The sequence below is a fragment of the Homo sapiens genome, chromosome 19 (genome assembly GCF_000001405.40).
Source record: "Homo sapiens chromosome 19, GRCh38.p14 Primary Assembly".
NCBI classification, from domain to species: Eukaryota; Metazoa; Chordata; class Mammalia; order Primates; family Hominidae; genus Homo; species Homo sapiens.
In genome coordinates this window covers 43596171-43607223 of record NC_000019.10, presented here as the reverse complement: position 1 = coordinate 43607223, position 11053 = coordinate 43596171, and the positions used below count along the sequence as shown (strand labels likewise).

General features: G+C 49.2%; 1 protein-coding gene across 2 annotated transcripts, besides 1 other annotated feature; it reads right to left on the bottom strand.

Moving 5' to 3' along the window:
* Nucleotides 6067-10832, bottom strand: ZNF576 (zinc finger protein 576). Of its 2 annotated transcripts, none has more exons than NM_001145347.2 (3): nucleotides 10481-10629; nucleotides 10031-10130; nucleotides 6067-8393 (listed from the first exon to the last, which is right to left on the bottom strand). In NM_001145347.2, the coding sequence occupies exons 2-3, from the start codon at nucleotides 10113-10115 to the stop codon at nucleotides 7966-7968; spliced, it is 513 nt and encodes a 170-aa protein (NP_001138819.1). In that variant the 5' UTR covers nucleotides 10116-10130; nucleotides 10481-10629; the 3' UTR covers nucleotides 6067-7965. The 2 variants fall into 2 exon arrangements, with proteins under 2 accessions (NP_001138819.1, NP_077303.1); NM_024327.2 differs by lacking the exon at nucleotides 10481-10629 and adding an exon at nucleotides 10639-10832 and having other exon boundaries at nucleotides 6789-8393.
* Nucleotides 10595-11014: an enhancer, noted in NCBI's record as "active region_14730". NCBI's record gives its function as "activates an Ori minimal core promoter by ATAC-STARR-seq in GM12878 lymphoblastoid cells {active_cell/tissue: GM12878}" and the evidence as "EXISTENCE:reporter gene assay evidence [ECO:0000049][PMID:35858748]".

Here is an 11053-nt window from a genome sequence, read left to right as displayed (position 1 = left end):
CAAAATGGTGCTGGGTGAGTCATTTGGGGACCCAGGCCATCCCTTAAGCCTGTTGTCTCCCCCATGGTCCAGACTGGGTGGCCATAGCCTGGGTCCTGCTGGCAGAAGAGGACAGGATGCCTGGTGAGGTGCACGTGTTGTCTTACAAGCCCTGGCCTGCCAGGGGCACACACTGCTTCCATTGACACGCCTTTGCTGAGAAATTAGATATGTGGCCGCAGCTAACTGCAAAAACAACCTGGGAGAAGCAGTCTAGCCAAGCGCCCAGAAAGCAGAAAACAGTTCATGGAGGACAGCTAGGGCTTTCTGCCACATAGCCTAGGAACTTCCACAAAGAGGACTTTAATTATAATCACAGCTACGCTTTCTCAGCGCTTCCTGGGTATCTGGTGCCAGTCCAAGGGCTTTATATATATTGACTCATAGAAATGGTGCATCTAGGAACTTACAAAAATAGAACCTTAATGATAATTGCAGCTGCCATTTTCCCAGCACTTACAGAGTGCTGTACTTAATTTGCATGAGATTATCAGCTTCTTAGAATAACCCTGTGAGACAGGGATTGTGATCCATTAATTCATTTAACAAATATTTTTGAGTACCTGCTGTGTGCTAAGCATTGGGAACACAGCAGTGAATAAAATAAAATCGTTGTCCTCATGGAGCTTACATGGGAGTGGGTAGAGGCTGCTGGTGAAGACAGACATAAACAAGTAAGATACAGCATATGCCGGGTGCTGATAAATGCTGTGAGAACAATAAAGCACTGAAAGGAGGCCCGGCATGGTGGCTCACTCCTGAAATCCCAGCACTGAGGTGGGTGGATCGCTTGAGCCCAGGAGTTTGAGACCAGCCTGGGCAGCATGCCAAAACCCCATCTCTACAAAATACAAAAAATTAGCTGGGCTAACGATGGTACACGGCTATAGTCCTAGTACTAGGGAGGCTTAGGTGGGAGGATTGCTGGAGCCTAAGAAGTGTCGCTGCACTCCAGCCTGGGCAACAGTGAGACCCTGTCTCAAAAAAAAACCACACACACACACACACACACAAAAAAAAAACTGAAGGAAGGCCAGGTGCAGTGGCTCACACCTATAATTCCAGCACTTTGGGAGGCCGAGGTGGGAAGATTTCTTGAGCCCAGGAGTTGAAGGCCAGCCTGGGCAACACAGTGAGACCCCATCTACAAAAAATTAAATTAGCTGGGCTTGGTGGTGCATGCCTATGGTCCCAGCTATTCAGGATCACTTGAGGCTTGGAGGTTGAGGCTGGAGTGGCCTGTAATTGTGCCACTGTGCTCACTGCACTCTAGCCTGGATGATGGCAGGAATTTGTTGCAAGAAAAAAATTTAAAAAAGGACTGAAGGGAGAACTGTTCTGGAAGGAGGTTGCAATTTTAAAGAGTATAGTCCTCCCTGAGAAGGTGACAGATCTGAAGCCGGGGGGAGCCATGTACATCAATGGGGAAGAGCACTTCAGGCTGGAGGAGGCAGGAGCCTGCCTGGTGTGCCAAGGAGGCGAGAGCTGTAGGGATGAGGTCAAAGGGTAGCAAAGGACCAGCTCTTTACAGCCTTGCCAAAACTTGGGCTCAGAGATGGGAAGTACTAATTCGTAATTCACAGAAGCTTGGCGCCGAAGCTACTTTGAAAATAGAAGCCTAATTATAATAATAGCTATCATTTACTGAGAATTTACTGGGCAACCAGCCCTGTTCTAAGGCGCTTTACATGTGTTAACTCATAGAAGGTTGGAGACTAAGAACCTTCAAGAATAGAACCTGAATTACTGTAATGGCCATCATTAAGTCAGCGCTCACGGTGGACCAGGCCCTGGGCTCAGTGCTTTATGTGGACAGTCACATCAGATCCTTACAAGTTAGGGACTGTTACTTGTTTACTCATTCACCCAACAATGATTTATTGAGCACCTATGAGATGGCAGGCACTGCTCTGGGAGTTGGAAATATAGCAGTCAACACAATGAACAAAAACCCCCTCCCTTTGTGGAGGTTATAATGGGGAAGACAGTAATCAAGTATTTAAGTAAAATATACAAATTGTGGCTGGGCGCGGTGGCTCATGCTTGTAATCCCAGCACTTTGGGAGGCCGAGGCGGGCGGATCAAGAGGTCAGGAGATTGAGACCACGGTGAAACCCCGTCTCTGCTAAAAATATAAAAAATTAGCTGGGCATGGTGGCGGGCACCTGTAGTCCCAGCTACTCGGAGAGGCTGAGGCAAGAGAATGGCATGAACCCGGGAGGCAGAGCTTGCAGTGAGCTGAGATCGCGCCACTGCACTCCAGCCTGGGCGACAGAGCGAGACTGTCTCAAAAAAAAAAAAAAAAAAAATACAAATTTTATGGAATGTTAGTCATAAGTGCTATGGAGAAAAAGGAACAGGGTGGGAAGCTTGTGTGTGTGAAGGTTGCAGTTTTAAGTAGGGTGGTCAAGGAAGGCTTCACTGAGATGACATCAGAGCAGAGACCTAGAGAAGGGGCAGGAGTGAGCCTTGTGGCTGTCTGTGGGGACAGTAAATGCAATGGCCCGAGGTGGGAGCCCACTTGGGGTGCTTGGGAAGAGAACACAGGGCCACGAGGCTGGAACTGAGGAAGACAGGTAAGAGGTGAGGTCAGAAAGTAGCGGAGAACCAGGCCGTAAGAGCCATATACTGACTTTGGCATTGTCTCCAAGTCTGAGTCCTCACAGTAATCTGAGTGCTCATAATAATCCTTAGAGGCTACCTTTATGACTATTTTATAACTGCTACAACAGGCCAGGCATGGTTGCTCATGCCTGTAATCTCAGCAGCTTGGGAGGCCAAGGCAGGTGGATTGCCTGAGGTCGGGAGTTTGAGACCAGCCTGGCCAACATGGTGAAACCCCATCTCTACTAAAAATACAAAAACTTAGCTGAGTGTGGTGGTGCGTGCCTGTTGTCCCAGCTACTTGGGAGGCTGAGGCAGGAGAATCGCTCGTACCTGGGAGGCGGAGGTTGCAGTGAGCCCAGATTGCACCACTGCACTCCAGCCTGGGCAATAGAGCAAGACTCCGTCTCCAAAAAAAAAAAAAAATCTGCTACAACAGAGGCACAGGGAGGTTGAGTTACCTGCCAGAGGTCACAAAGCCAGTAAGCAGCAGAGCCCTGGTTTGTACCCAGACAACTGGATGCAGGTGCATCCACTCTTAACCACTAAGCCACACACCAGAAATGGCAGTCTAGTGCCCACAGCCACCATCTGACTTAGAGGAGTGTATCTGGTCTCCACAGAGCTATTGAATTTTTTTAAGTTACGTTGGTTACCAATGTTGAAAAATGGGTAATTTCACATTTAAAAAAATTGAAGTTTCTGGACTGTCTCGAAAATTGTGAGATCTATATTGCTGAACCCCCAGTTCCCATGGGGATAGTGGTTTGTTGGTGCTGAGAAGGAGTCACTTTCTGTAGGGGAGGCATTCACTCTTATGTGCCCAGTCACCAATGCCTCACATCTGGACACCCCTACCCTGCCTGCTTGGCCCTGAAGAGCATCTGCTTTTTTTTTTTTTTTTTTTTTTTTTGAGACGGAGTCTCGCTCTGTCGCCCAGGCTGGAGTGTAGTGGACATGATCTCAGCTCACTGCAGCCTCTGCATTCTGGGTTCAAGCGATTCTCATGCCTCAGCCTTCTGAGTAGCTGGGACCACAGGCGCGGTACTACCACCCCCGGCTAATTTTTGTATTTTTAGTAGAGATGCAGTTTCACCATGTTGGCCAGGCTGGTCTCGAACTCCTGACCTCAAATGATCCGCCCGCCTTGGCCTCCCAGAGTGCTGGGATTACAGGCGTGAGCCACCGTGCCTGGCCAGCATTTACATTTTTGACACCTATTACAGGATTTCAGACCAAAGCATTTTTCAAAACCCACGTTTCTCATCCCAGAATCTCCAAACCTGACATTGATACACTCTGAACTGAGACTTTCCTAGCCACTATAGCTTAGCATCATGGAACCTCAGAATCATCAGCAGAAATTCCAGGCTCATTAAAACAACAGAGTCTTAGTCCGTTTGTGCGGCTGTAACAAAATACCTGAGACTGGGTAATTCATAAAGAGCAAAGGTTAATTCCTCATAGTTCTGGAGAGTGGTTAAGTCCCAGGTCAGGGAACCAGCAGATTTGGTGTCTAATTAAGGGTTGCTCTCTGCTTCCAAGTTGGTGCCTTCTTGCTGCATCCTTACACAGTGGAAGGTGGCAGAAAGGGATGAATGCTGTGTCCTCAGATGGTAGGAGAGATGGAAGGGGAGAAGGCCTAGCTACTTCCCTTGGGTCCTTTTCTAAGGGCACTTATCTTGTTCATGAGGGCAGAGCCCCTGTGACTTAACCATCTCCTAAAGGCCCCATGTCTGAATACTATCACATGGGGTCTTAGGTTCCCAACATATGAATATTAGGGGGACACATACATTCAACTATAGCACATGGATAAGTGTGATCATAGGTTTTGTTTCCTGGAGCAGCACCCCATCCTGTCTTCTGCCATAAGACAGGACTTCTAAGGACAAATATAGAGAATTTCCATCCATTGGCAAATATTCCTAAGGATCACAAGAGGCACTATCAATCAGGAGTTGGGTCATTCAGCCAGCACCCATTCAGGATATGGAGTCAGGCCAGGCATTCCCCAAAGAGGATTTAATACAGGGAATAGTTACACAGGTGTTAGAAGGCTGAAAGTCAGCCAGGCACGGTGGCTCACGCCTGTAATCCTAGCACTTTGGGAGATCGAGGTGGGCGGATTGTTTGAGCCGAGGAGTTCAAGACCAGCCTGAACAACATGGTGAAACTCCATCTCTACAAAAAATTAGCTGTTCATAGTAGTGCACACCTGTAGTCCCAGCTACAGGGAGGGAGGTGGAGGTGGGAGGATCATCTGAGCCTGAGGAGATCAAGGCTGCAGTGAGCCAAGATCTTACCACTGCACTCTATCCTGGGCTACACAGCGAGACCCTGTCTGAAGGGGAAAAAAAAAAAAAAAAAAAAAATGAAGGCCAGGTGCAGTGGCTCACACCTATAATCCCAGCACTTTGGGAGGCCCAGGCGGGCAGATCACTGAAGGCCAGGAGTTTTGAGATCAGCCTGAGCAACATAATGAAACCCCGTCTCTACTAAAAATACAAAAAATTAGCCAGTTATAGTGGTGCACACCTGTAATCCCAGCTACTCGGGAGGCTGGGGCTGGAAAATTGCCTGAATCCAGGAGGCGGAGGCTTCAGTGAGCTGAGATCACACCACTGCACTCCAGCCTGGGAGACAAAGTGAGACTCAAAAAAGAAAAAAGAATTTAAGAGTGCACAGTTTACTAACATGATGGCAATGGTGGTGCAGGTTGGGCCGCAGGAGTCCTGTTGACCCATTTTAAGTTTGAGATCTCCATTTGTTTATTCAAGTGGTTATATCTTATGTCTGGGGTTTGGGCTGCAGATAAAGATGTGGATGTCATCAGTGATGCTATTTAGAGAATCTGTGATGTCTGGAGAGAACAGGAAGCCCAGGGTGTACTTGGGCAGGCTGCTATCTTGGGAGAGCATGTGGGATTAGATACTTAGGTTTGGTTTAGGGGAGCCACTGTGGGGGTAGTGTGACAATATCTGGGTTGGAAACTTCGGAGCATTCACCAGGAGCCAGAGGAAATATCTGGCTCTTCATGAAGTTGGTATCTTGAAAAAAACTGATGGTCTACTAACTCCAACCAGTCTCCCCATAAGTCACCCCAGCAAAGAGATCCAGGGTAGCCCTGCCCCAAAACACACACACACACACATACCCTACCTACCTACCTACCTGGTAAAGATGGTGGTTCCCAGGATGGAAATTTCTGCTTCCAGACTCAGAGTAGGTTGAATGTCTTATTAGACCAGGGGTTGGCAAACTTCTCCTGTAAAGGGCTAGATGGTAACTATTTTAAGTTCTGTAGGCCTTAAAATCTCTGTTGCAACTATGCAGATCTGCTGTTCTAGGCAAAAGCAGCCATCAACGATACATAAGTGAATGAGTATAAAACTGTTCAAATAAAATTTTATTTGCAAAACCAGGCAGCAGGCTAGAGTTGGCCATAGTTTGCAGACCCCTGTCTTAGGCTGTAAATTCTGTTGCATGTGACAGAGACCCAAAATAATGGTGGCTTAAATAAGATAGAAGTTTCTTTCTTAGATAGCAATATGGAAGTGGGCTGGTATGGTGGCTGTGCTCCTTGAAATTGACGAGAGACCCAGGCTCCTATCTTGTTGCTCTGTCTTCCCACGTGTTGCTCTTATCCTTATGGTCTGAGATGGCTGGATACCATTTCCGTATTACAGTTAGGAAGGTGGAAAAAAGGTATGTCCCTTTCTTTTCTTTTTTTTTAAACAGTCTCACTCTGTCACCCAGGCTGAAGTGCAATGGCACGATCTTGGCTCACTGCAACCTGTCTCCCAGGTTCAAGCAATTCTCCTGCCTCAGCCTCCCAAGTAGCTGGGATTACAGGCATATGCCACCACACCCGGCTAATTTTTGTATTTTTGGTAGAGACAGGGTTTCACCATGTTGGCCAGGCTGGTCTCAAACTCCTGACCTCAGGTGATCCACCGGCCTCAGCCTCACAAAGTGCTGGGATTACAGGCGTGAGCCACTGTGCCCAGCCGTCCCTTTCTTAAGCTTGACTGTTCTACCCAGGAATTTAGCCAGAAATCAGTCACAAGGCCACATCTAGCTGCAAAGGAATCTGGGAAATGCAGTCTTTTCAGCTACTGTGTGCCTAGCTAAAAACAGAGACAGTGATCAGTCTACCACATCCACCTCACCTGTGGGCTTTAAAAACATCCCTCAACATAAACAGAGTCTATAAGTATTATATGCAAGGCATCGACCATTGTCTGCAGGTGCAGGGCAGGTAACTAAGGGGGTAAAACTGGCCTGGTGGGACTCATCTCCAGTTGAGGGTGACACCCACTGCTCCCTCCAGCCTGTTGTAACTTCTGTCCTGCCCCTGCTGACAATGTCAGCCTAGGTTGGGCCTTTCAAGAGAGCTGAAAATAGGATCTTAATGGGAAATCTCCCAGTGTTGGCCAAATAAAACCCGAAACAGAAGGTATCTCTGTTTGATTCCAAACCAGTTTCCCCACAAAGCGAGGCCAACTCTGGCCTGAGTTCCCCCACCTGCCCACACCCTTATGTTCTCTGGAAATTCCCACTCAAAAGCCAGAGCTCCCTGTTTAGACATTTTAATATGGATGTTTTCTGTTTTTAGATACTATTCCTGTTAGCTTATTCATACCATTTCACCTACACATATGAAAAAAATATTTCAGGACTAGAATGATATACAAAATTATTTCAACGAGACATAAATTATCGGGGGACTAGTGCCATCTAGTGCCATGGCCCCTCTAAGTGAGGATGGCAGGGGGTGGAAAAGAGACACAAGGACTCCAATTGCTACCCCCACTCAATTGGGGTCCAGCTCCCAACTTTGCTGCCCCATCCCCAAAAGCCCAAGTTGCTCCACATCTGGAACTCACCTGGTGGCATTACAGGCCAGCAACACCTCACCTTTCCTGCCCCCATTCAGGCAAAGGTCCAGGGCAATTTGCTCCCATAGCCCATGGCATCCATCTGGGAAGAATGAAGGGTGATGGCACAATCTGCAGCTAGGTATTTAACTGGGAATAAGGGAGACACAAACCATTTCTCTCCCGCACTCCCTTCCCATTTTTTTTTTTTAACAAAAGATCTCATTATTATCTGATTTCACTGTCTCACGAAGGCCCTGTGTGCTCCAAAGACTGAAGCTCTAAATAAGAATCTTCTGGGTCCTCTTTATTAAGAGCCCTCTGCCTTCCCAGGGGAGGGAAGCAAATCCTTCAGGGCCCCCAGAGTTCCTGCACCCCATATCATGGGTGAGTCCTACCAGCCACAGAGCCACCCGTCACCGTGGAGAGGCTTAAGCTGCACTCAGAGCTCCCCCCGGGCATGCCGAATGTAGTGTTGATGCAGCCCTGCTTCCTGAGCAAAGTCCTGACCGCACTCTGTGCAGGCGAAGGTGCCAGGAGGGGCACGGACCTCATGCATCTGGCGGTGCCGCCTCAGAGAAACAGCCTGCCCAAAGGTCTTGCCACAGTCAGGACAAGGGAAGGTGGGCTGGGCAGTAGTGGTTGCAACCGGCAGGGTGGGCTTGGCGGCTGGACCGTGGCTGCGCTGGTGGGTGATTAGGGCTTTGGAGGAGGGGAAGGAGCGGGCGCAGGTGAAGCAGATGAAGAGGACCCCCTGCAGCTTCTGGGCCACGAAGTCCGCTGGGTGCTCCCGCTTCATGTGACGCTCCTGGAACTTGGAATCTGCGAAGGTGATGAGGCAGCGGGTGCACTTCGGGGCCCCCAGGTGGCCTGAGGAATGTGGGGGAGAGGTCAGGGGAGGCCAGCAGGAGTCTCCAAGACCTCTTCCTGAACCCCAGAATCACACCAACAATTAACATTGAATGTGTTATGTGCTAGGTTCTATGCTAATGCTGGACAACCAAACAGGAGAACTGTTCTTGCACCTATTTTATGGATGAGCAAACTGAGATTCAAAGAGGTTAGGCAAGTTGCCCATAGTCATGAGGCTAGGAAAGGAAATGGTGGAGCCAGGGTTGGAACCCAGAGAGTCAGCCTGCCCAACAGAGGGGTATGGTGATTACAGCACAGCCTTTGGAGCCAGACTGCTTGGGATTGAATCTCACCTCCACCACTTCCTAGGCAATTACACCAGTTTCCTTATCTGGAAAATGGGCTAATAACAGTATCTACTCCATAGGACCGTTGGAAGGAATAAATGAATTGCTGTACAGTCATTTGCAATTATGACTAATGATACAGAGAAATCCAGCCCGACATCCAGGATCTGGCCTGGTACTCACAGCTAGACCTTGGTGTTCTGTTGAACATAAATTTTCACAGAATATCAAGGACAGACAAGGCCACGCTGTGACTAAAATGAATCAAGACAAGACTACATCATCATAATGTCTGAGCACAGACAAAATATGAATACTGTCCAAGCAGAAAAATGACCAAACATCCTCCTATCCTGGCTAATGTGAATGTCTGCTGCTGCTTTATCAGTCAGAGCTTGAGCCTCGCCTCCTTCCTTCCTCCTTCTGGGTAAGATTTATTACGATAGCCAATCATAGAATTGCCCCTGCTTCCTGGTAGCATCCAATCCAGAGCAAAACAATTTTGCTTGAACCTTCCCCAAAATCACCACCCACAAGCCCAAATCCTGTGTCGTTTTTACCATTCTTAGTGAGACACCCCACAGTCCCCCCATGGTCTGTGTTCATTGCAGTGAGAAACCCAACGTGTTCAACTGCAGGTGTGTTCCTGGTAGTCTCTGGCTCAAGGGCATTGAGACTACAGCTCTTGTTACAAATACCTCTCTCTGCCTCAGTTCCCAGTTTAAAGGGCCTATTATTAGAAGGACTCAATGAGATAATGAATGTTAAAATGGTTCATAATATGAGAATAAATACACCTAGCTCATAATAAAACACTGAGCAGGAGGTGTTGCTATTACATGTCAAACTGGCTACCATCATTAACCCCTAGCTTTCCCCTTTGCTGCAGTTAATCCCATACCCACCCTGTGAGGTGGGAAGTACCACCCTCTTTTGACAGTCAAGGAAACCAAGGCCCAAGTTACACTGAAAGTCTAGGGCAGAGTTGGGACCAGAATCTTGGGGTTTCTCTCCCAATAGAACCATTCCCAGCCACATCTCCAACCCAAGCCTCTCCTGGAAGCCACCCTATCCCTCTGAATGCATAAGCATTGCAATCCTGCTTATGTGGCCAGAGGAGGGTGAGTACTCTGGCCACATAAGCTGGTGTGAGGAGATGCACTTCCTGCTAGAGCAGCTCAGGGACCATTACAGCCCCTTCTCAACAGGCAAAACTCTGTGGCGCCTTGGACACCGAAGTGCCACAGAGATCTTAGCATCAGCTCCTGCACCCCACCCTCCTCTAGCCCGCCAGCCATGTGTACTCACAGATGTTGCCTCCTGGGCTCTGGGGACTTCTCTCCTTGGGTGAATCCTGCTGCTTCATGTTCTCTTCAGGGTTCGGGTCCTCCATGGTGCTGGGACCCTTCTAGTCAGGAGAGGAGCGTGCATAAGTGAAGCTGTTCATCTGTTACCAGTCTTAGAGGGCACCCTAAGTCTATGACCTTTGACATCGCCAGAGGCTCTCCTTGCCTGCCTTTGACCCCTACGACATACTATCTCCTTGAACTCTAATTGATGGAGTTCTTGCTAAAAGAAGCTTCAAACCTCCCAAAGGACTGGATTTCCTGGGTTTGGGACTCCCCTAGAGTCTTCTCACTGGTGTGACCTATGACCTGCTGCATCAAACTAACTCCCTGAACTCAGCGTGGAAGCCTTGATCTTTGACACCAGCGTCATCCCAATCTCAAGTGTCTTGGGGCAGGTAGTGATACCCACCCTTTATCCCAGTTCTTCCCGGGAAACATCCTCTGACATCCTGTGATTTTTGTTCCGCCCAGAGCCCCCGCCTCCCACGCGCGCTTGCAGCTGCTATCCCGCTACCCTCAAGCGCTGCCTACAGGTTCCTGCTCCCAGGCCTCAGTTTTCCTCCTTACAGCAGAGGGCTGCCTTTCGCTGCGCCTGTCAGCCGCTGGCTACAGCGCCGCCCCAGAGAGAAGTGGGATAGGGACCACTCAGTCTCAGGGCCCCCGTGGTTTCCGCGCCCTTTTGCCAGATGAGCCTCTCGGAGCCGAGATCCCGGATTTGCCATCCGGCAGTAGTATAGTCGCACCAGCCCGGTCCTCAAAATAACGGGAGGGGTCCTTCTCTGCCCTATGGCGCGTTTGATGACGTTCAGCCTCCCGCGGCTTAGCTAGCTAAGCCTTTTGCGCATGCGTGGGTAGGCTCTCGTGGCGCGCAGGCGCGTTGACTCATTCATTGTTCTAGGCCCTGAGGCCGCCAAAGAGGGGCGTGCACACTTCGGCCGTTCTGCGCAGGCGCGGCGAAGGGCTGGGTCTCTGCTGTCGGCCT